At 34.1% G+C, this 26,349-nt stretch overlaps 1 long non-coding RNA gene and 1 other non-coding gene across 3 annotated transcripts, besides 1 other annotated feature; one reads left to right on the top strand and one right to left on the bottom strand.

Moving 5' to 3' along the window:
* Positions 674-1,210: an enhancer, noted in NCBI's record as "OCT4-NANOG hESC enhancer chr13:61776132-61776668 (GRCh37/hg19 assembly coordinates)". NCBI's record gives its function as "activates a minimal SCP1, AML or CMV promoter by ChIP-STARR-seq in naive H9 embryonic stem cells {active_cell/tissue: H9 hESC(naive)}" and the evidence as "EXISTENCE:reporter gene assay evidence [ECO:0000049][PMID:30033119]".
* Positions 3,328-3,410, top strand: MIR3169 (microRNA 3169). The gene has a single exon (NR_036128.1). It is a non-coding gene; the product is annotated as a microRNA 3169 (primary transcript).
* A 13,053-nt stretch (positions 3,411-16,463) lies between these two features.
* Positions 16,464-24,952, bottom strand: LOC102723910 (uncharacterized). Of its 2 annotated transcripts, none has more exons than XR_001749891.3 (3): positions 20,068-24,952; positions 17,323-17,429; positions 16,464-16,890 (listed from the first exon to the last, which is right to left on the bottom strand). It is a non-coding gene; the product is annotated as an uncharacterized LOC102723910 (long non-coding RNA). The 2 variants fall into 2 exon arrangements; XR_942007.4 differs by having other exon boundaries at positions 17,323-20,147; positions 23,193-24,394.
* Between the last annotated feature and the right edge of the window lie 1,397 nt (positions 24,953-26,349).

Raw genomic sequence — 26,349 nt, 5'->3', positions numbered from 1 at the left:
GAATGGAGGAAGTGAGACATTCTTTGATTTTCAGGAGATTTTCAGAATTTTAAGAGATTTTCAGGATATCTGGCACTCTTACACAACAAGCTCTGCTCATTTGGCACATGACTTCAGGGTTAGTGCCACATCCTCTTGGTCATTTTTTTTTTTTTTTTGAAGGAATTTCTACGTGTAATCCATGATGTCAGTCCACATTTTTCTGTATAAGCATTACTCCATTCCATTTTTGCCTTCTTCACATTCACCACTGAGTCCATATCACCCACTGCTAGACACTGCTTCCTCCTCCTGCTCTGATCCCTCCTCTTCACATTTAATCAACATGTCAGAATTCCATTTTATGCCATTGATTGTCATTACATCCTCTTACTTAGGAAAAGGGAAGCCACTGCCTTTCTCCTTTGTGATCTTCATACATCATTGCCCTTGAACGATATTTTCTTCCATTTCTCCAGTGGGTACAAATACTTTTCCTTCAAATGCCAGGAAACGTACAGTCTTTTTGTGAGACCTTCTTGTCTTTTTAGTATTGCATTTTGATAGTCCTCCAGCATTATTTCTTCTGCTGATCTTATTAAATTGTCATGTCATAATATTTTTAAAAATCTCCCTTTTTCTATGAGCAGTCCACCCCTCCCTCATCCTCCAGAAAGGAGATAGTACTTTGAGTTTCCTTCTCTCAAGAAGAGCAAGGGATTACAAGGCAGAAAACAGAAATCCTTTTTTAGCCTCTGGACTTACATTTCCAAAATTTTCTAGCTATCAAGGAGATTATGCAAGTTATATATGAGGCAAACAACTTTGGGGCAGGGAATTTGTCTTTGAGGAAAAACCATGAGGAGTAAGAAGAGAGTAAGGGTGGAGATGGGATTTGTGGCATGCTGTGTGATGCTCCACTGGTTGGATACCTGGGGACATGTTAGAGATGTGGAGTCTGAGAACAAAGGCGTCTGTACTTTACCTGCTGAGCTAGAGACTCAGGGAAACAGCTGGGTGAATGCTTGGGCTCTGCAATAGGGGGTTACTGACAGCTCATATGTCTCAATGAATACCTTCAGAAAACAGATCTTCTCCTGCCCCAACACACTCATAGCCTTGGATACACACACTCCTGGGATTTAATCACAACCCCAGGAAAACAGAAAACATCACAAAATAATGTTTTTCCTTCCTGATGGAATCAGGGTTTAATATATACATGCTACAATTATAATTATGTTTATGTTTTTCCTTCCTGGTGGACTTGGGGTTTAATATACAAATGGTACAATTATAATTCTCTCACTCTCTCTTCTCTCTGATGAGCTGTGAAGCTCTTAAAGGCAGAGACATGTTAATTATTTTTGTGTTTTACTGTCTAATTTCATTCATTAAAAATGGTTGATGAATGATAACCATTTTTTTGGTTGATAACAAATAATGAATACAGATTGTTATAACCTAGAAGGCAGAAATATTATCTAAACTTTAAGCTTCAAAATTAGAACACAGAGGAGTGTATTGATCAAAAATTTATTATCACAAAAAAGTTTATAATGATCATAAGTGTATTATGATTATTAACAATGATTTTTAGAACGTGGCGTTTTATGGACTACATGCTTGGAAACACCTTAATAGGTTTTGCTTATCATTTATCTCTACTCTATAAGCCATTTCAGGAAAGTTATTCTTTTGAATACAGGGTCTGTGTTAGTTCATCATTTGGTTTCCAACACTGTAATGAAATAAAGTGCCTGGGATATTCTGAATCACCTTCCTGACAAAGCTTTAGAGGAATTGCTGATGAACCTTATAAAAGACTAAAAATATTTGCATGTATAAAGAAGATTGAGAAATGTATAAAAATATATCTATTACAAATTAAATATATTTTTAGAACAATCCCTAAAATTCCATCACTGAGCATTGATAAAAAGAATATTTTAATTTTTCATAAGTTAGCTATAATTTTCTAAAACCTCAAACAGAGCAAAAGTTTTAGTAATATATGATAGCTCCTAGAAGTTCAGAAGGGTAATTATTAAAACATGTTTTAAACTTAAAATAGCTATAAGACTTCATATTTTAAGCAGTGTTATAAATTATAATCTGATATGCATTTGTTTTGCTCTAAACTAAATGATCATCCTATGAGTGATGGAGGCTTTAACCAGAATAATCTGGTTATAATATTTATGAAATTGCCTTATAGGATGTTTAATTCCCACAGTGGCTTATTATAATTTCAGTTCTACAGTGTGAAGTGATACTGTCCTTTAAGAATTGGGGCTCTACTGTGACTGAGGCACCTTATTTTAACTTGGTCTCCTGTTAGGAGAAGTATTTGATTCTTTATTTATTTCTTTTATAGTCTCAGGTTATTTCTCAGATTAATGGGCCTAATTAAACCAAAAAAAAAACCATAAGAAATAGCAGCCCTATTTTGCTGATGCTCCCACTTTTTCATACCTTTAGGAATAACCATTCTTATTCTGTTATCCTACTTGATCACACTTAATTATGTTAGTAAAAATTTTTTGTAAAAATCCAAAAGGTATTTATCATGACATTGAAAAGTTGTTAAAGGTTTTCTTCTTGGATAGTTTACCTTAGACAAGAGATAAACTGAGTGCAACATGAATTAAATTAAGTGAAATAAATTTTATTGGAAACCACCATTTATGGCAGAGAGACTTTCCTTGAACTGATGAGTGATAGACACAATTGGATGCTAGGAAAAATATAATGGGTTATTTTTTATTACAGTCAAAATGTATCAAATATCTGCTACTCACTCATGATTCTGTAATGCTCTATCAGAGTGATGAAAGAAATCACAGATGCAGCCCATAGGTTCAAACAGTTTACTTTGTGGTGACAATGTGAATATAAAACATCAGTGAAGAATATAAGGTAGAACATAATTAACCACTAAATTACCTGATACAGACAATATAAATATTGGTTGAGAAGATTTAAATCAATTCAATGAAACTGTAGACAAGATGAGATTTGAGGCAAGCTTTGGAAGATAGAAAGGATTAGAATAGACAAATGGAAAGAAAAGGACATTGTAGGTGAGGCTGATGAAAGATCAAAAGCCATAGGTCTGGTAAGAGCATGCTGATTTAAGATACAATGTCGTAAAGAGATCAGCTTAACATGTGGGAAAGTGTGGTGAAATTAAGGAGGACTTTCAAAACCATGCAAAGTATTGACTTAAAGAGCAAACAACGATAAAATCCTAATTATTTCTAAATCTTTGAATGGCCTGATGGTAATAGTGACAGTGTTGATAAGGTTGCTAATAATACTTTGTACTGTGACTTATGCTACTAACATATGTGAAAACATAGGACTGTGCTTGGCACATAGCACAAAGTCTTATGGTACTGTGTGCCAAGCATAGTCCTGTGTTTTTACATATGTCATCCCACATGAATCCTCACAAAACCTTGTAATATTTCATACCAATTTTACAACTGATGAAACAGAAATTGTTTTAGGTCATATAAACTGTAAGAGTCATAATGAGGAATTCAACTCAGATATGTCCTAGCAAATACACGTAAATATTGGTAAACTTTTTACTGAAAATACAGACAACATTAAGTAGGAGGTAATTTATCAGAGGGCACAAGAAAAATTCGACTAAATTTCTAAAAGAATTTTTATTCGAGTAAAATAAGATATTTTAAAAACACACGTGAAGAAACTGTAGCTTATAATTGGTCTGTATTTCATTGTGATAAATCAATGTCTCTCAAAATGGAATCTATTCACTGTTCACATATTCATAAACTTGGCTTGCTCATTAAACAACAACAACAATAATAACAATAATAGCACAACATAGATTATTGAGCTTATTCAAAACAAAATGAATAATAATATTTTGGTAGTGAGAATGGTGGGTTTAACAGCCTTAAGAAGAATTGGTATGTACATTGACAATACCCACACTAGGATGCAGAAGAAATCATTCTTCCTGGTATATATATAAAAATATAATTGATAGAATTTAGATGTACCCCATGCTATTTCCTGGACTGTCTTCCCAGAAAGATCTATGATTCTCAGGTTGGTGTAAATCTTTCCTATCATGCTTTTGCATTTTAAAAATAAATTATAATTTAATATATATGAAATTGCTTTGTAAATTTAAACTACTGTATATATAATTTTATGATTTAATTTTTAGACTTAGCATTATGTTTTTGAGGTTTTAAATGAAGATAAATGTAGATCTGATTAATTTTCATTGCTTTTTAATATTCAATTTATAATAAAAACAAGGCTTATTCATTCTTCTACTGAGATAGGTTGGTACAGTTTTGGAATTCTTTTGGTCCATTTATTAGAGTTTCTCACATATATGCTTTCTGGTGAAATTGCTGAATTCAGGGATACACACATACAACTTTATTAGGCAATAAAAAATTATGTATAAGAATTTCTGTTTATCCTCAGTTATAATAAAAGTAATTATGCAAATGGAAAAGTTTGCCACTATGGATATGAAATGGTATATCAGTGTTATTTATTAGCTGTTCAGATGAGAAAACTGTGAAAATAATTCCCTGTGTTTATTGGCCATTTCAGTTTCTGATTCCTTAAATTGCTTGTTTTCTACAGGATTGTTTATTCTTAATTTGCTTATTGCTTTGGTAGAGTTTATTATATATTTTGATTTTTTAAAAACCTATTGAAAATATAATCTGTGATTTGTCTTTTCCTTTCATAAGGTTGCCAGCACTAATTATGTTAAATAAATTCATGATGTAAGATACAGTAGAAAGGAAAATCATCATATATTCAGTAAATTTTTAAGGGCCAGACAGTATACTAGTTATTTTGGGATGTCTTGTTTCAATGTAACTTTATATTCAACCTCCAGGCTATGCATTACTACCTCAACTTTGCTGATTGCACTGAGGTTCAGAGATGCTAAGTAACTTGTCAAGGGATTTGGATCTATGAAGAAGATGAGGAAAATTCCAAGCTAGTTTTATTTGGCTCTATAACCCATGTTTTTTTTTTAACAAGGTGAATAATAGTTACACTTTCAACTCTTCAACACTCATTCACATAGATTTGTTAACTTGAGTCCCATTAAATTGCAGCGATAACAAGGATATGTATTATTAACACTGTTTGATCATTAATTTGGAAGATGGGGTGAGAAATAATTCGTCCAAAGTTACTAGCAAAAGTATAATTCAGTTTAGCCTTTGGATCCAGTGCTTCTTCCATTGACCTTCCTTAGGTTGACATAAATTGGCATCAGTGATACATGTGCTCATGACTAGTAAAGACAACATTTTAAAAAATTAACCTTTTAATGCATAAAATTAACCTCATAATGCATAATATATGCTGTGTGAGTATAGATTACATCAGTCTTAATACTAATATACTTGTATCTACTTTACTAATGTGTTTCCTTCATTGACCTTAGTCATATATTGACCTTAGTTTTATATATTTTAAGATATTTACTTCATTTAGTATCAAAAAGAGTCTGGAAATTTAGCAAATATTTATTTTAAAATTAAAAGTACTTTTTTGAACAAGAGAGTTTTATATTAAAGGAAAAAGACTTATAAATCCAGAGTTTGGATAATAAAAAATAAAAAGAATCAAATAAAGCAAGGAAAAAATTATATGTGGCCAGAGAAAAGAGTTGGAAATTCCTCATATAAACCATTCACATAGTGCAGATAAAATCCATGGCTCAAATAACTTATGTGCTTTTTCTTTTATAAAGTCGGTTGATGGAGGATTGATAATTTAGTCATGCATTTTTAAATGATCTTTTAACACACACTGGTTTTGTTTTCTAACCAATTCAATTTTGAACAGATACTTGTATGTTTCTAGAACAATGCAATACAATAATATAACATTTAGTACTTTTGCTGATAAGTTTTATAAAATAATTCTGAATGGCAAGTTACCACTCGTCAGACCTGCTACTCCACTTTTCAAGATCTCCTAGAAACAATGGAAATTCAGGAGATATATATATAGATAGATAGATAGATATAGATATATATAGATATACACACACACACACACAAATATTGAGTTTTAAATGGATACACTATACAAAGTCAATAAAAAATAAAATGACTACCCTTTATTGTTTGGCACCAAGTATGTTTCTAGTACTATACTAATAGATATGTTATCTCATTTAAGCTTTACAACCATTCCCACCAAGGGAGGTACTAATATTCCAGTCTTACAGATAAACATAGGGAGCAACCTAAAAATTACGTAATTACACTATGGAAAATAACTAAAAGTTGAGTTAGGATTAAAATCCGAGCCTGTCTTTTTTTTCAGTAAACTATACCAGCTCAGGCTACAAACTCCATTCACCTTATGCCTAATAATTTGCATATTTTTTGTAATGAATGAATATGGGTTGCTCTCATTTCCATATGTAGCTTCCCAGTATTTCCCATGTGTGTAAATCTTTAAGATCTCCCGCAGCTGAGATACCATTTCTCTCCCTCTGTTTATTTCTTCTTGACTCCAGCTACTTGGTCAATGCAAAGTTGTAATTATGTTGTTTTTTATAATCCTGGCTATGATTGTTAGCTACTTATCCTATTTCACATGTGATACTCACAAATGCAGATCAGAAGAGACCCAGGATGATGTGTTTGCTCTCAGGGAAAGAAAGGTAGGGCTTAATTGCTTTGTATCCCCTTGGGGTCAAACACATCTGGTTCCTCAGTATCCTAATTCTTCTTGGTTTTCTCTAATCAAAAGTTTTAATGTAATAATTTCAAATATTCAAAGCTATTTTTATATTATTCATAATATATATTTTCAAAATGTCTTTTAAAACGTGAGGAAAAATTCAAAGAGCTTTTAAAGATGACTATTAGTTACTTTTTAAATTTTCTTCCTACAGTTTAAAGAAAAGCTCTGGGTTGTATATTAAAAGTTGAGGAATATATCATTTCAGAGAGGAGTCTGATATTTGGTGTGCATTTTCTAATTCTTCATTTAATGTGCTTCTGCCATTCACAATGTTTTGAGATTGTTATTTTATTTTGGTGCTCCTGAAATATGTGCAAAATATAGTAAATGCAACAGATGGCTCTAATTATAAATCTTTCACTTACATTTTAAAAATAATGCCTAGTTTTAAATATATCTAATTTCACTAATGTCTTTACTATTTAGAAGATGCTTACATAGAGATAAGGAGAAATCTATGTTGTAAGTTTGTTAAAAATATATCCTTTTCCATACATTATTTTCCACATCATATTAGATTTATAAATTAATGCATTGTTGGTGAAGAATTTTAATTGGTAGTACAGTTATCTGTTTCTGAGCATATCCTTCTCCTTTCTAAACATTAGATGAAAAATCACTAAATATTTTTACTTCATATTTACCACAGCCTGAAATTCCATGATTACCTTGAAGTTGTGGGAGAGGCAATTTCGGGAAGTGGTGTTCTGACCAAACTTCATTCTCATTAAGTTTCCTCAAGTTTGAAGGCATGTTTCATCTCCACTGATTTAAAGCTATTGGATTTGATTTGTATTTTCAAGAAGGGCTTTGGAGAGTTTTGTTTTCAAACGCTGAAGAAAAATTGAACCCACCAGACTTTGAAAATCAACAGTAGACCTAATAAAATTCTTCAGTGCCTCCCGACAGGCTTCAAGACAAAATCCCAACTCCTTCCTATGGTGAGAAAGCCCTCCCTTTATGACTCAGTAACACTCAGTTCCTCCCACCCTGAACAGAGCCACTGTCTCAGCCATACACGATGATTATGGGCCCCAAGTGCACAGGTTCTCTCCGACTTGTGTACCTATGTAGGCTTTACTTTTACTCACAATGCATTCTTTCTCCAATCGGCTTTCTTCCATCAACACCTCCACACCACTGAGGAAATTAACTAACTAAACGACCCTGTGTGCTTGAATAATGTAGCAAGAAGGGGCCTGAAGAACATCATCTAAAAATCAAGCTATGGAAACAAGTGAATCTACTTCTGAATGTCAAAATGGAACTTCTTTCTTTCCAGAGACCTGTGTGATCACCGGGCACCATCTCATTTTATGCCTCATGCTGACTAGAGCCCTTTTAACCTTGAGTCTGAAGTTAATATTATGAATTATAATTAGTACTTACTGTGCATGAGGTTTATGACCGCAGGAAGTCTTATATTAAGAGCACTGAAAAGAAGCCCTAAATAAAAAGTTTAAAAGCCCCAAATGGGAACATGCCAAATAGTTTTAAGAAGGACATAAAGTTATCTTATTTAGGTTATCTCCCTACCCTCAAATCAATATGTACGAAAAAAAAAATTGTGAGTTAAAAAAATTTTTTGTTTCATCTTGGTTGAGGAGTGGATAGAGGATTGGTAATACCAATTAGACAGAGCTAACACTTTCATGATTTAGTCCAAATAAGAGAGGATAGAATTCAAGAAATGGTGATAGTATTGAAAATGGAGGAAAAAAGATTTATATTACAAAATTTGAAAACTTTACTGATGAATTGATTTGAAGGAAGTACAGATAAAGAAAACACAGATGACTTGCACATTTATTGTTTCAGCAGTAGGGAGAAGGCAGTGTCATTTCCTAAGATGTAAAAGACTGAGGTGAAAATTAGGAATTGGAGAAGAGAAGAGATTGCAAAAACTGAGAGTGAGTTCACCCACTGTGAATAATGAATATTTCAATAAGCATTAGAGGAAAAAATCATAAACTGCATCACCTTTCAATAGTGCTTTTTGAGAGCAGTGTAAATTATCAGAAATATTGCTACTGCAGAAATTCACCTCAATAGATATCATGAGGTAAATTTCCCCACAAGTTCCAGGTCCCCATGATTATGGCAGTAAGTTATTTCATTAATATTTGCCAAACTAGTTTTAATGTAATCGCTGTACTTCATATATAAATGCCCATTTCTGGGAAAAAGAATACAACTTATTTGGATCTAGTAATTATAAAATATAGCTATGAAAAATATCTATTAGCAAAACTCTGTAGGGGATTTTCCTGTAAGGGTTTTGGCAGATTGCTCCCAATAGTGCTTTTAGTAATGCCTTTATGTCTTCACAAAGCAGGATGTTAGAGAGAAGGTAGTAGTTACTAGTAAAATTGAGTTGAGAAATTGTCAAAAATATGGAGCAGCTCATAAAACAGAATCTTCAAAGTGACATGTGGCATTTGAAACCTTAAAATTTTAACAAAAGTGAAAATTATGTACAAAGATTTTTACATATTTTATTTGACGAAGCAAAAGATTAATGCTCAGTGAAAACAGTGGGGACATGTAAAAACACATAATCAATTCCAATGTCTTTAAAAGGCAGACTAATTAGGGCACAGAAATGGGTCTGTGCAACAGAAAATATGTACCCCATAAAGCGCATAAATAGATTTTTCATTGATGACAAACTTTGAAAGTCATAGGAGCATCTTTGGAGTATTTTCAGCTAACCTGCCCAATTAACCCATTTGTTGCCTCCCGAACCCACTCATTACCTGTTCTTTTGGACAGGTATTGCAGCAATTGCTATCCATATGTTCAAAATTCTAAGAAAATATATAAAAATTACATGTCAATCTTATTGTAAGTGTATCTATAAAAATGAAACATGGTGAGTAATTCCAGTGCTCCTCTTCTTCAGAAAGAATCACTTCTTATAAAACCACCAATTGAAGCACTAGTTGTTTGTGAATTTTGTTTTGTTTTCTTCAGATCAGTCAATCAGATTCACCAGAACTTAATGTGTCACCCTTCATTTGGAAAGGAAATTCTCCATGTAATAGGGAAAAAAGTATCTTTTCTAGGACTTGGTTCACTTGTGAAATTCAAGTCATTTTTGTAAAAGCTATAGAAAAGTCCTCTCCTTTTTCTAGGTAGAATCACTGTATATGTGAATATGTATTTGTTGTACAAATGAGTGAATGATCAGATGGATGCAAGACAGGGCTTTCTGCTTCTATTGAAGCCCCATCTATGTCTATGTCTCAAAACATCATCCTGCAATCCTGTTAAAATAAAGACAGGTTATGTCATTCCTCTGGCTCAAAACTCCCATATAGCCTCCCAGCTTACCCTGAGTAAAGTCCAGTCATTACCCTGATTTACAAGGCTTGATAAGACTGAGACCTCATTTCCCCTTTGACTTCACTTCCTTCTATCCTACCACTGCTCACTTTGCTCCAGCCCCTCCCCTCCCTCCTTATTCACACCCAACCCACCACATATACTCCAGATGAAGGCTTTGCACTCTGTCATGCTCAACTAGTGTCAACATGCCACACTCCATTGCAAACTGTTTACTAAAATGTAACTTTTTCGGTGAAACATTTCCAGACTATTTTATTTTAAAAGCATGTTTTCTAATACTCCTTGTCTCATTCTCTGCTTTATTTTTCTCTGTAGTATTTATTGCCATTTGACATTCCACAAATTTACCTTTCCCTTTTAATTAATTTTGCCATAATTTACAGTCTAAATGTATGCACAATCTAAGAGGATACGGTTTTCTGTGTATTCTGTGGACCCCCTGCTTAGAAAACTAGCACATAGTGGGCATGCAATAAATATATTTGAATGAGTGAATGAATCAAGGCAACTGTCTTGACAACTGTGAGTACTTATACAGTTCTTTTTGCAAATGGACCCCAGAAACATATAGTTGTTTTGTTTAAAGCAATGAATATTTTGCAAAAACATTGCTACCAGGGAGATTCTCTCCAGACACACTTCAATTTCAGCCAAGTAAACCAGTAAACTGAATCATGACTAGAAGAGTCAATGGTCAAATATATCCCACAGCCACTAATGAAGTTTATTAAAGCCTTGTGCCTAGACTCTAAAATTATTCAGTCGTTGGTCAAGGAAAACTTTCATTATCCTCAAACTAAAAAATAGTCATCATAAAGCTGTCCACAACTTCTAATCAATGGGCTTTTCTATGTATAGTAATCTCTCTCCCATTTTGGGTCTTATCACTGTAGTTATCTACATTCCTTTCCTCTGAAATGATAAAAGGAAACCCATATGAAACTGGGATTGCTGTTTACTTTGCAGTGTATGTTTTGATTGCTATTACCTTCTACACTGAGTAGAAAAATGGTGGTATTAAAGGATATATAATGACCTGTTAGCATGGCATGACTAAGAATAAATAAGTAAGAATATCTTGAAATAAGAGGTTCTTTTTCATGTTTTAATATCTCACTCATGGTGAGCCATCTTTCCAATTAGTGCGAAGTATGGCCCACAGGTGACCCAGTGATGATATGTCTTTACATTCTTTTCAAAACTTGTCAGTAAAATGGATTAACAAAAGGATGAGTGACACTTATAAATTAATTTGGCTAACTTCCAAGCATACCAAATTAAATAAGCTTTTGCCTACCTTGATTTATAAATGATTACTTGGTCTTTATAATAGCCAAAAGGATAATTTTTATTGCAAAATATCCTTCATAAAATTCCTATGAAAGACAGAATTTCTTTTATTTCCCAAGTCTGCTAGTTTTCTGGAAGTTATTGGTTATATTAGCTTTAAAGGTTCCTTATATGTTCATTGGACTCAGATCCAACAGAAATCAACCAATGTTCCAAAGAATTTGGGGTTTCAGTTGAGATAAAATTAGTGGGTCTTTAACTCTTTGCCATTATCCTAATAAAAAGATGTTAATTAATCACCTGATTCATTCCAGAAATTTTTATTAAGCACCATTAGCTAGATATTATTTCATGTTTCTCTTCATTCAAGACCTTAATCTCTACATGCCAAAACAGCCAAAACAACACAGATCACTGAAAATTTCATAAAGGCATGAACAGACTGTGGTGAAAGCTCAGAAGATGCTCTGACTGTCATGGGCTGGGAGAGAACAAAAGGCTTTGCTGAGAAGATGAGTATGACAACCAGTTCTTCTAGAGAATAACTAGTCTAACTCAAATTCACAAAGGAAAAAAAGTCCTGATAGCCCCTTATTCCTATAGAGTGGAGATTTTTTGGTGGCTTTTTTTTTATTTGAATGATACAATATGAGAAATAAGGCAGGATATTTCAAGAGAATCCAGGGCAAAGGGATGCCAGGGAGAAAACCAAATGGCATGTGTGGACATAAGTAGAGGTACGTGTGTGTGTGCCTGTGTGTGTACAGGTGTGCTAGTCACCACTGGACAATGAGAGAGTTACTGTTGTACTACCAATAGAATACTGTGGTGGTCCTGGCCAGGTCTTCCAGACTCTGTGCCTTCTTTGTCTTGGAAACAACCAAAAGTGCATGCCTACCGGTGGTTATCACTGCCCGGTTGCAATGTGACTGAGCATTGCTCATTAAATATAGAACATGTGCACAGTGGTGCTAAGTGACATAGGTAAGGAAACTACCAGGTAGGTAGATAATATTAGATCCAGAAGATGTGGCTTGGTAAGTGCAGTTTTTCAACCACAAAAAGTGATAGTTTCAGAATAACATGGCTACGACTCACTTATTCACAATTTACCCCAACCAAAGCATAATTGCTACCAAACCAATTACTTCCTCTATGATTTGATTGATAAGACTGGAGAACCCACCCTCCCTGAACATTCTTAGCCTGATGATTCGCCAAAAATATGTCTTGAGCTCATCTCACTAACTCTAACTTGCATGTTTATTTTAGGAATAAAAACACATGAGTGTTCATCTTCATGAAGCCTCAAAGCCAGTGCTCTGCACCTTCACAGCAATATAAACAAAAATGAACATATATGCCTGCATAACTATGAAAAGGGTGATTTAATAATGCTCTGTGAAACTTGGCATATAACTCTCCTTAAAGTATCAAAAAAAAAACAAGGTAAAAAGAAATACATATTTTTGACTAGAGAAACATGAAAGGGGATGAAGTATGTAGTATAAAAAGTTATTGATAATTGATAAAAAAGTATTGATAATCACTGAAGATTGCTACCATTTAGAGATACAAATTTCTATGATAAATGCAGTGGCATGACAGTATTGTCAAATTATTAGGCAATATATAGGGAAGAAGTATTTATGTTTCACATCCTTGATGGTGATTCAAGAGAGACAAAAACAACAGAAATGGCAAGTGGTTTCATTCTGAATCATGATAGCTGTCTTTGGTAGCTGCCCAGAATACTGTGCTAAGAAAGATTTCAATATTATGCCCCAAATCAGCTGAAAAGTATAAAACAACTCATGATCATGACAGTGGAAAGGGTTAAGGTGAAACATGTGTTAAATAATTGATTCCCATTTCACCAAGAAAAACAATAATCACTTTTAACATGGTAAAAAAAAAAGTTAACAGAAATAGGCAAAGAATGAATAACTCTTTTTTTTTTTTTTTTTTTTTTTTAGAAAAGTTTAGCATTTGTCCCAAGACCTAATGGCTTATTTTGCTAATATCTGGTAGCTTTGTTCTGACTTGGCAGGATGTCAGGATATCATATTAATGGAGACAAAGCAGGACTTAACATACTGGATAATTGGAAGAAAAAAGAAATTAATTAGATGATTGTTTGAAAGTCATTAGATTTTTGAACCTGTTTGTTTTTAAATTTTTGGTGATCTAAGTAATACTTCAAATGATTACAAGTTCAAATGACAAGAAATAAGAAAATACAGAAATTCAAGCTATAAAAAGATATATATATACATATATATGTATGCATATATATATATATGTATGCATATATATATATATATATATATATATATATATTTTTTTTTTTTTTTTTTTTTTTTTTTTTTGAGACAGAGTCTCGCTCTGTCGCCCAGGCTGGAGTGCAGTGGCACAATCTCGGCTCACTGCCAGCTCCGCCTCCCAGGTTCACGCCATTCTCCTGCCTCAGTCTCCCAAGTAGCTGGGACTACAGGCGCCCGCCACCACGCCTGGCTAATTTTTTGTATTTTTAGTAGAGACGGGGTTTCACCGTGTTAGCCAGGATGGTCTCCATCTCCTGACCTCGTGATCTGCCCGCTTCGGCCTCCCTAAGTGCTGGGATTACAGGCGTGAGCCACCGCGCCTGGCCTAAAAAGACATATTTTTGCATTATTTTTCTACCTGAAAATAGATGACTCTCACTAGATATTATTGAATGTGTTTATATTTGTTTCAAACCTATATAAAAATTTTTATAGCAAAAATTTAAACTAGTTACAAATGTTTCTCTAATTATCACAAAACTATCTTCACGAGCTATATACTCTTATTTGTCTCAGCACAGTGGTATCGTCTGGTTCCTTGTCACCCCCTTGACCTCTAAATTTTGGAGTTCATTCCTTAGATTTCTTTATATTTATTTATAGCTACTTCCTAGGTTATATGTTGGCTTGACATACCAATTATATACTGCCAAGAACATGTCTTCAGTCAAGAACTTCCTCCTGAACCCCAGTTTTTTCAACTGCCTACTCAATATCTCCAACTGAATGACTAACAAGAACTGAACATGTCCATAACCAATATCTTCATCTTTCCCTCAAAATATGCTCAGTCTTACCCAGTTTAATCATGGCACCTCTGTCCTTCCAAGTGCTCAGACAGAGCCTTCAGCACTTCCTTGGTATTCTCTGTTTCCTTTCCATCACCCCTCCAATCCCTTAGCACATCCTATTGACTCTACCTTCAAAATATATCCAGAAATCACTCAATGCTTATTATTTCCATCACCAACACATTGTTCAAGGCCGCCATCATCTTGTGTCCAGTTTATTAATGAACTTCCCGGCTACTTTTCCTATTTCTATCCCTACTTTTCCAGAGTCTATAATTCTCAACACAGCAACTGTATCAGTTTCCTATTGCAGCTGAAATCACGATCATAAAATCTGTGGCTTAAGACAGTAACTACTTATGATTTCACAGTTTTCATAAGTCAAAAGTCCAGGACAATATGGCTCAGCTGGTTCTCTGTTTAGGTCAAAATCAAGGTGTCAGCAGAATTGTATTGCTTTTGGAGACTCTAGGGGAAAATATGCTTCCGAGGTCATCCAGGTTGATGGCAGAATTCAGTTCTATGCAGTAGAAGTCTGAGGTTCCCAGTCTTCTTGCTGGCTTTCAGTTGGATATGTCTAAAAGTTTCCCACCTTACTTGGCTTATCCCTCCTTCTTTGATAATCAAAGCCAGCAAGGGAGGGTAGTATTTTTCTCACCCTTTTTATCCTTCCTCTGCCTCCTTCTTCTGCCACATCTCTCTGACCCCAGGAGGAGAAATGTCTCTACTGTTAAGGGCTGAAGTGATTAAGGTAGATCTATCTAGATAATCCATGATCTCATTATCTCAAGGCCTGTTACTTTTCCAAAGTCCCTTCACAGCAGTACCTAGATTCATGTTTTATTGACTAACCAAGGGAAGAGAATCTCGGAAAACATCTTTGGAATTCTGCCAACCACAGTAGCCAAAGGATCCTGTTACAATATAAACTAGACTATGCTTTTCCTCTGCTCTATAGTATATAATGATATCTCACTTCATTCAATGTAAGAGCCATTTTTTAAGAATGTTTTACAAAGGCCTATGCAATCTCTTCTCCAATTACTCATGACGTCATTTCTTATTAACCCTACTGCTCATGGTTTCCTCTGAGCAGCAGACTTTTTTTTTTTCGGTGGCGGGGAGAGTGTGGGACAGAGTCTCACTCTGTCACCCAGGCTGGAGTGAAGTGGCTCAGTTTTGGCTCATGGCAACCTCTGTCTCCCAGGCTCAAGCAATTCTCCTGCCTTGGCCTCCCAAATAGCCGAGATTACAGGCATGCACCACCACACTCAAATAATTTTTGTATTTTTAGTAGAAATGGGGTTTCACCATGTTGGCCAGGCTGGTCTCAAACTCCTGACCTCAAATGATCCTCCTGCTTCAGCCTCCCAAAGTGCTGGGATTACAGTCGTGAGCCACTGTGCCTGGCCAAGAAGACATTTTTAAATACTTTACTCTTTGAAAAACTTTCAATACATTAAGTAAGCATTCTTTTATCTATGCTTTTAAGAGTACACTAAGTTTTTAAAATTTAATTTGTCTAAACTTGTGTTTCTTAATCTCAGCACTATTTGCATTTTAGGCAGAATAATTCTTTGTTGTAGAGCGGTGTTCTGTGTTATAAGATATTTAATACATCTCTGGCTTCTACTCACTAGATGTGTTCACACTCTACAGTCGTGATAACCAAAATGTCTCCAGACATTGCCAAATATCTCCTGGGTGCCAACATTTTCACAAAATGTTAAAATAAGAATGGCTATGATACCACAGGCGCAAAGGTACTAATGCCTTTAAATATCTCATTTCAGGAGTTTCAGAATTTCTTTAATACATTTTATATAAATTTTACTTTGGAAAGATAAAACCGAAATGACAGCAGATTCTATATTAACAAACAACCTTTATTCAATCAAAAACATAAATCAAACATAAGCTAAGATAAAAAAATTTTAAAAACAATGCTTAATGAAAATAAAATAAAAAAACTAAACAAATGGGTTACAGTAATTATTAGCACAGAAATATAAGTGAGCTAGTAAACAGTATATAATCACATCATCAGTCCTTTTTATAATAGGTTAACAAAAACCTGTCTTTATACGAATGCCAGATATTAATATCCAATCTCCTGGCTTTAGGAAATCCATTTTCAATAGACTATGGCTGCATGTTTAAGAAGTCTCTACTGAATATTTAAAATGCATCATGAATAGATTTTAAATAGGAGCTTAGTGCATGTCCTCTGCCATTCAGCATAAGGTTAATTACTGTAGAACTCTAGGGTACTGCAAGATGTGGGAAAATAAAGCTCTAATAAATGAATCCAAGTTATTTTCAAATGTTTTGATGGAAAAATGATGAATGATGTCATGGTCACATGTTATTTCTGATATCTGGAAAGGAACAAAAGTATCAGTTCAGCAAGAGTGTGAAATCAAGGGCGCATTCTAGTTTCAGCAGCAGAAAGAGAAAAATAAAACCTTCAGGCACAATGACTAGCCACAATGATTGCAAAAGTTATCTCCAAGGTCATTAAAGAATTAATGTATGTTTAAATTACAAATACTATAAAAGCAAAAAGGAATGTCTTCATTTTCACCAGCATGTAGGTATACCGAAGACATTCAGAAATAAAAATTCAAAATCAACTACGTAATTACTAAGAATATTCTAGAACAAATTAGCTATATCTAGACTCTTGTCAGAATTGACATTTTTAACACTTAACATTCTAACATTTCTTTCTAAAATGACTTAACATATATGTAATTCCATGTTTTCAATTAAATGAAATTAAGATAATATTTTAATTAATATTGTTTTACATTTAGAGATGTCTAGCATCAGTTATTTGAAGAAGTCTTCATTTATCAATGTTCATTCTGTCATTCAGCCAGCATTTCCTGAGAGTCTTCTTTGTGCGGGTTTTGTTCTTTGCAGTAACGAACAAGAAAGAAATGATGCCTCTGGTTATAAATCTTGTGTTCCAATGGACAAAAAAGGTAAAGAAACAAATTAACAAATAGTGAGTAATAAAAGGTAATGATAGCGATAAGGACAAAATGAAAGACAGGGCCTGGGAGTTGATTGGATTGGGGTTGAAGAAGGCTCACTGAACAAGTGATTGTATACCAAGCCTGAATGAGGAGAGAATCTCGAAGATTCCAGGAAAAGAAATAACTACTGTTTTGTATGAAATCAAGCATTTCTTAGAAGTAAGCTAGAGTCTCATATCTCAGCTTTGAAGTTCAATGCACAATGTTTCTTCCTAGAATCAATCATAAGAAAGAGAAAAGTAAGAAGAAACCAGAAGATGCCACAGGGTCTTTTTATTACCATGTCAGCTATTGTCATAATTTTACATATATCCTAGAAATGAAGCTTTTTTTATGACTTAGTGATTCTTCAAAGAGCAATAAGTCCTGTGATTTTTCAAATGAAAAGTGGATGTTTGCACTCAAATGGTTGAAGCACTGAGGAAAATTTAAAATTTCAAAGTAAAAATAAACGGTAATCAACTATCCAATGACAGTTCAGAGGGGATGTAAAAATCAAAGAGAAAGAAATGATTGAGGTCAAAGAAATAATGAAAACATTTGTAGGTTCAGGAGTTATGGGAATTGGGGTTAGGAAGAATTGCAAATAAGAGGATCGTGATTGTCTTGCAATTTTGAAGAACATACCCACTTTAAACTGCCCTATTTTCTTCAGAGGCAAACTGGTATCTGTCCGAACATCTGTCCTGAATAAGTTTGCAAAACTTTTTCTATAAAAGGGAGTCTAATATTCATGAGTGAGAACCCACTTTTTATTTTTAGGAAGAAAGTTATAAACAGCTCCTACTTCATGAAAACTCCATGCCTCTCTAAATATGCCCTATCCTTCTATACTCATTTGGGAATATGAGGGAGTCTCACATTGAAGTGCTAGAAAAAGCTGAGGCTGTGGAACTAGGTAGGAATACAAATGAAAGAATAAGGTAAAGCAGTTGACTCTCTGTTGATATTTTAAAAGGCAAATGAAGGCTCTTTAAATTTAAAATCGATTCTCTGCTCCATTGTGATTCATTTGCAAAATACACCTCTACCTGCTCCAAATTTTATTCCTAAGACATTTATAACCCCCAAGAATATCGCATTAATTATAAACATTACCTTTTTACAATTATCAGTTATTAAACATTTTAAGTTATTAATGTAATCAGATTATTTTCCATGTTTTGCATCCAAAGGAATAACTTTTCCATTTCAATTATGAAAATTTTCTCTGTGCTCTGAAGGATCTGAATAACTTTATGATAAAAAGATAATGGAAAATAGAAACAAAACTAATCTTAAAATAAAAATTTAACAGAATGGACAAAATTTTAGCATTTAGTTCCCTGAAATACATTGCCAAATCATTTGTAAATTCCTATGAATGCCTATGTGTAATACACATTATTCTTAAGTAATTTATTCAGAAGTGCTTCCTACCTATTTTCAATGATAGAGGATTGCCCCATGGTTAATGCATTTGTGTAAAAAGCGAAAGAGATCTATAATGGGAGCATACGGCTTTGCGATTATTTTAAGTATGTGTACCTAAAGGCGATGATTCTGATCTCTATGGTGATATATGAACAACTTCCACTTGGTAGATGTGTTAAATTTCTCAGCATGTTGGAAGATCATTTTAATGTAGGAAATAGTAATTTATTATGTGTATATTTGTTAACTGGCATAGTGATTCTTAAGATGAAACACTTTTCCTTCTCACTATGCCTGGTATCACTAAGTACTTGCAATCAAATGTCATATCTTTATGTAGAAAGAAGTTAGTATTAAACATTGACATTTTAAGTATAATATGACAGGGTGATTTGTTTTGTTGTCAGCGATTTGATAAATTGCAGTTTAGCATGAGTAATTTCTATAAGCATGTATAAATGAACTGTGGACAAAAATAATGTTTACAGAATTCTGTATTTGTGTATATTGATTGCCTGGGTTTTCAAGGATGACTGATGCATTATAATTTAAACTTCAAATACCCTTCAAATTAACAGCCTGTGAATGAATTTAAATCCTTACAAAGAAATAGCTTTAGAAGCTCTACTTTTCATTTTGAGGATATCTGTGAATATAAAGCTCCCTCTTTAAAAAAAAAAAAAAAAAAACCCTAAACTTTAAAAGCCTACTGAATACATTTTTAAATGCGCTTATCCTGAAAAACACAGTTTGTGTTAATGGGTAAAATTTCAGGGTTAAAGGGGAAAAATAAGTATCCCAAAGCTTCAAAAGTATCATCCTCAAAATCAAGCATTGGTAGTAAAATGAATGAAATGAGTGTCCCCAACTCTCTTCTTAATAACAATGCACTTAATTGAGGATGTGTGGCAAGTAGCTCTTTTCAGTGAGTCAGCCCAATTTTAGTTATCTAAATGAACCAGAATAATCAACTCCAAAAATGTCACTTAATTTGTATCTTAAAACAATCTTTTTCCAAGTCTCCGAGTATTTTGTAGTTAACTGAACCAAGAATTCTGATTTTTAAAATATTTTTAAAGACTTTAAATTGTTTTTCTTTACCTGTTTTTATAGTTTCACTTCCATTTCCAGACAAAATCAGGCAGTGCTAAAAATAACAAATGTGACTAATTCTCAATTACCTGCAATAAAGAGAAGGCAAATAGGGAACCAGCATGATGGAATAAATTACATCTACTGATAGTTTAAAAATCCAATTTTAACCATTGCTTTCAACCTCCTACTTATTAACAAATAAAATTGGACTTCTCTGAGTTCCACTTCCTGTTTCTTCACTTGAAAATTTCCCTGATGGAGTTTGTGACATGAAGATGTGTCCCCAAAATGGGCACAAGGAGACAAAAGGAGAGCAAAAAACAGAATTACAAACTCGAAGTTTCCCTCCAAATACATAAAATCCAAATAACTGAATTACATTAAACGTTATTTCAAAGCACTGATTTACTCACTTTAGAGACAGATTTTAAATGGACCTGAGGGTTGAACTAGAATTTATATGATAGTAAGGTTCTTTCCAATATTAAAAGTGCATGATTTTGTATATAATACAGAATTGTAGGCACGTAAAAAAACTTCAAAGTAATTTTACAATTCAGTAGTAAGAATGTGTAATGTTCATTTAAAATATAAATCATTGTTAATTATATGAGGAAATATAGATTTGTGCACAGAAATTTGATCTAGAAATCACAAAATCTAGTTCACTTCTTAATTTTTTTCTGATGCCTTGAGCGAATCATTTTAATTTGGCCACAGTTTCCTTATGTGTATAATAAAGAAAATGAGGATGTTGAGAACTATATGATATATAAATTCCTTTCTAGATTTAATTTGATTAATCTAATAAAAAATCAGATGTAAGTGAAAATTCCTAGAAGAAAATAATTGTTATGGAGTGACAATTTGTACCTGCGATCTATGTTATTCTTTGTTGTATGTCTGTGTTTGTGTGTGTGTGTGTGTGTGTGTGTGTGTGTATAACCTTTATCCTTTAAAATTTAGTGATGACTAGACCCATATATATATATATGGGGGTTCGTGGTACAATTTTTCAACTTTTGTGTCTGAAAATGTTCATAATAATATTTTGGAAGTAAAAGTGAAAATTTTCTCCAAATAAATTCAAGATAATACTAGAAGATAATTAAATATTGCATGAGTTCGTCTTTTCTGACCAGACAAGTGTTTCTGAGTATATGGAACTATCTAGCACCCTCAGACAGTGCTGGTAAGAATGTAAAATGCAATAATCAATTTGACACACAATTAGGGACTTTTTTCAAAATTTAAACATATAATTGCTAGATAACCCAGCCATTCCACTCCTAGGTATTTACCCAAGAAAATAAAAAAGAAACGTACTTCACACAAGAATGGGTATTTCTTTTTTTTTTTTTTTTTTTTTTGAGACGGAGTCTCCGTCACCTAGGCTGGAGTGCAGTGGCACGATCTCGGCTCACTGCAAGCTCCGCCTCCCAGGTTCATGCCATTCTCCTGCCTCAGCCTCTCGAGTAGCTGGGATTACAGGTGTCCACCACCGCGCCTGGCTAATTTTTTGTATATTTGGTAGAGACGGGGTTTCACCGTGTTAGCCAGGATGGTTTCGATCTCCTGACCTCGTGATCCACCCACCTCGGCCTCCCAAAGTGCTGGGATTACAGGCCACCGTGCCCAGCCAAGAATGGGTATTTCTAATAGCTTTACATGTAACAACCAAACACTGGAAACAACCTGACTGTCCATGAACATGTGATGGATAAACAGTTTATCCAAGGGAATGCTGATTAGCAACAAAAAGAGATGAACTTTTGATAAATGTGGCAATATGAATGAACTTCAAAGCCATGCTGAGTGAGAAGAGCCAGGCAAATGTAAATATTCTATGCTTTTAGAAAATTCAAACCGAGGAAAGCCTATTAGTTGTTACCTGGAGACAAGGTGGAGAGAGGTTAGAGAATGGACTACAAAAGGACATGAAGAAACCTTTTGGGATAACAGAAATATGTGTTATGGTGATGTCTTATTTGTGGGCGGTGGGGGTGGGGGGCATGTTCATATATTGAAAACTGCTAAGTTTTATGCTTTAAATATGTACAATTTAGTTTAAGTATGCCTTCATAGAATTACAAAAAATGGTAGAAATTGGTCTTTTCAAGCATTTTTTGAATACACAAAGAGAAATACCATCAGAAGTTTGATAACTATAAAGAATACTATAATATTATATTTATGGGGTTTTCCTTGTGTGGAATAACTTTTCTGATTTCCAAGTGGCCTTCCTGGATATGTGTTGTCTGTTGTGGGTATGCCAGCTTCCTAGACATGCTTTGCAGGTTTGCAACCTGTGCAGTCATGGAGGACTCCATACTTGGTTTAATGCTCTACTGTTGCCATCTCAAAACGTCTGAAAGCTTTGCATAAGGATTCCTTATTGTCATTTGTCACTGTGCCTGGCAAATTATGTACCTAGTTCTGTCCCAGATCCTAAAATCTTTAGAGAGGCAATTTAATATAATTGAGACTTTTGGTAATAAAGAGTAGATCTGATCACCAAGAGTCTCTGTCCACATTTTGGAAATAAGTGACAAGATATGGGAAATTAGATTGCAGTGTGGGTTTTTTAGGTATCACTGGCAGAACAGAATGTTAAACACTCAAAGCACATGCTTAACAAAGACGTTCCTGACTAAACTAGGAAACAGCAGTCACTGGCGCTCTGGATATTTAATGAGAAACTCCCAGCAGGTCGAATTTCTTCCTTTTTTTTGTTTTTCTATTTCAAGGTATTAAATCATACATCATTCCCCTGATGTGTGCTCAGTAGTTAGAGGCCTCCTGTAAGAGTTATTAGAGAGTTGATGATGTACATGTTATTTGCTATGGGGCTTTGCAGAGACAAACACGTTAAACTGTCCTCCACAGATGTTTTTCATACCACAATTACTGAAACAGCCATGTACTGTACTAAAGTTTCCAAACAAAAAGTAGAAACAGAGAACGACTGTAAGACAACTGACGTTATTCAATCCCCTTCCCCCTCCCCCTTTATTTTTACCAACAAGCATAATGAATATCAATAAACCAACCTGTACTATCAACAGGTGAAGTTGATTAATAATGTATCCCTAGGTAACTTGCTGGAATTTCTTTGTGAAACAAAAGCTTACCTCCTCTGTTCCTTCTGTTTCTTCTCCCACTTTAAAAGCTTCAGCTTTTTGCATATTGCTGAGTGGAGGCCAAGAAAAAGCCTTTGCCTTAGCTACGCAGAAACCAACAAGAAAAATAACAAGTCCTGGGTCATTTGCTTGATGTCTTAGAGCTAGATCTAGCTGCCTTTTAGAGACTGTTCATAAAAAATTCTGAGGCTTTGCTGAGCTATGAAACTACTTCACTACAGGAAAAGTACAGACAATAAAAATTCGGGAGCTGAAAGCAAGCAGGAGGTAAGTTGTTCATATTAATAACCATTAGTTGGACTTGCAGTAAGGAAAGATATATAATAGTGGGTATCATACTTCACATTTCAGTTCATAGGCAGGCTGTTCATATTATTGAGAAAGCTAGTGTAAAGAAATACCACATTAGAGCCAGAACTCAGAGGACATAGGGCTGCAATGTGTCATTGCAGCAAACACATTAGATTATTATATGACTAGTGTCAATGGCCTAGGGCATCTCACCAAAATGAATTTTGTGCCCTAAATATTGACAACTAATTCTACTCGGGGTATAGGGATGATCTTGAGCTGATTATCGACTGGGTGACTGGCTTGGGAAGATCTCAAGGTTTGCACTTGCAAACAGTTCAAGAATTATGACTGTGTTCTGGGTCACCCCAGATCCAGAGAGTATGAGGAAAACCACAATTACTAGAGTACCTCAGGACTCCCAGGCCCCAGACGTGCTTGTTCTGCCATATTGTGCCATGACTTTCAGGGTTACATGATTGCCAACTCTCTGATATCAGAGGTAATCCCATTGCCCTAGTCACCTTTTAAATGATAAAAACCTGTTAAAAATGATAAAAACTTGTTAAAAACCAATGCTCTATAAATTCAAAATAATATATCACACAAAAAGATTCCTAACCCAAGAGATCCCTAACCCAAGTTATATTTAGCCATATTGCCAAAGTGAAGATTATTCCTGAATTCCAATTTTGTCATTGTTTTTTGGTTGTCATTTTATCTTTTCAATCTTTATTTTTGTTATACCAACTTTTATCCTACAGTCTTGTAGTAGAGAAACTCTCTCATACTCACAAAAGCAGAGGAGAAAAAGTTATAGAAGCAAATTTGCCTTCCCAAAAGGAAGAATTTTTCATTTGTCTAAGGTATAAGGCCACATAAGACATCTGTGTAGACTATCTCAGAAGATCATGCATAGAGAAAGGGAAAAATTCAGATTGCAAAAAAAAGAAAGCCTTTGGTAGAAGCCTATGCCAGGTCCTGCTTCTACTCTAACTTTAAAGGCAAAGATCTTTTATTTCTATTATAATATAATTGTATGGAATAGGGGAATAAGTAAAAAAAAAAAGTTTAAGAAAAGAACATGGTACATAATAAAAGTTATTTTACATTATTTGGAGAAGGGAGAAGACACCATGACACTCCTTGCTAGCATGCAGACTCCAGCTTGGTTTAATCTATACGAGGGTTTCTCAGCCTTGTCACTGTTGATATTTTGAGCCAGATAATTCTTTGTCTTGTGCATTCTAGAATATTTAGCAGCCAGCCTGGTCTCTACCCATTACACTGGTCCCTCTGTATCCGTAGGGGATTGCTTCCAGGACCCTCACGGATACCAAAATTGACAGATGCTCAATTTTCTTATATAAAATGGCATGGTGTTTACATACAACCTCTGCACTTCTTTCTGTAAGCCTTAAATCATCTCTAGATTACTTATAATACCTAATACAATGTGAATTCTATGTAATAGTTTTACACTGTATTTTATTTGTATTAGTTTTAGCTGCTGTATTATTTTTTATTGTTATATATATATATATATATATATATATATATATGGTATTTTTTTACAGTCAGTGGAATCTGCATAGGTGGAACTGACAGATACAAGGAGCCAACTCTATATGCCAGTAGCAGTGTCTCTGTCTCCCAGGTAATGACAAGGAAAAATGACCCCAGGCATTGCTAAATGCCCCCTTGGGGGAGCTAAATTGCTCCCAGTTGAGAACCACTGCCCTAAACAGCGCTGCCTAGTATATCACTTGGCACAGTCTCCTCACAGAGTCTTCACACAAATTGTTTTCTCTTCCTGGCTTGTCTTCTTCAGATGTACACCAACAATATACACTTTCCTTTTAGATTTTTGCAAATGATTTTTTCTAAAACATAAATTGTTAAAAGTTATATTCATTTATTTTAACCAATATTTACTAAGCACTTATATTTAGAGCAGTGTACTATTCATTAAATTAGTTTTAAAAATGAAGACAATTTCCCTCCAAAAAAAAGTTTGCAATCTACAAAGAGGAATCCAAATCACTAAAATACATTACAGAGCAAGTTAGCACCCTACGAGAGGTAAAATGATGTGGAAATTAAAATAAATATGACACCTAGACATACTGGTTGAATAATCTCAAGACTCTTTGCAGAGTACTGTACGCTGGACCTGTTCTGCTTCTTGAGGACATGTTTAAAAGCCACTGAATTTAAATTCATCCCCCAAAATTTCCTTATTTTTAGGCATGTTAGGAGATATAGTAGAAGAACCATGAATTTATCTTAAGCGACTTAAATTTCAAGGCACCTAATCTGAGGTGCCTGGTTATTCCTCACTATTCAGTGCTAATATTCTTGCACACATTTCCTGCAAATGACTATTTATTTGCTCTTCTCAGAACTAAGGTAATTAACTGAAAGTATTACTAGCTACCTTTTAAAGGATAGAGTTAAAAGCCCAGGAAATTTCAATGATTTTTCGGGACTGCTGAAGAAAATCACTTTAGAACTTTATTTTAAAACTAGCTATTCTCAGCTTAAATGTGGTTTAAAAGCTATGTCCTAAATGAGTTTAAATTACAACTGACAGTAGCTTGAATCAGAATATGGTTTGACTATAAGCTAAAAGCCAGCTAACCTTATTATTAAGAGAAGCAACAGGAAAAAGTTTCATACCTAAACATTGCCTATAAATATTCCTAGTGACCAAAGCTGTAGTTTCAAAAAGAACTATATATCAAAAACTTGATGATTAGAAAAGAAGCCTAATTATTTTTTCATTTTTCTAATAGGAAGAACAAATAAGTTAGGAGGAAAAATACAAGATATCTATTAGCTGATAGGAATACCAAAT

Source organism: Homo sapiens, chromosome 13 (assembly GCF_000001405.40).
Source record: "Homo sapiens chromosome 13, GRCh38.p14 Primary Assembly".
NCBI lineage: Eukaryota > Metazoa > Chordata > Mammalia > Primates > Hominidae > Homo > Homo sapiens.
Note: the sequence above shows the minus strand (reverse complement) of the source record. Positions and strands in the feature narration are given on the sequence as shown.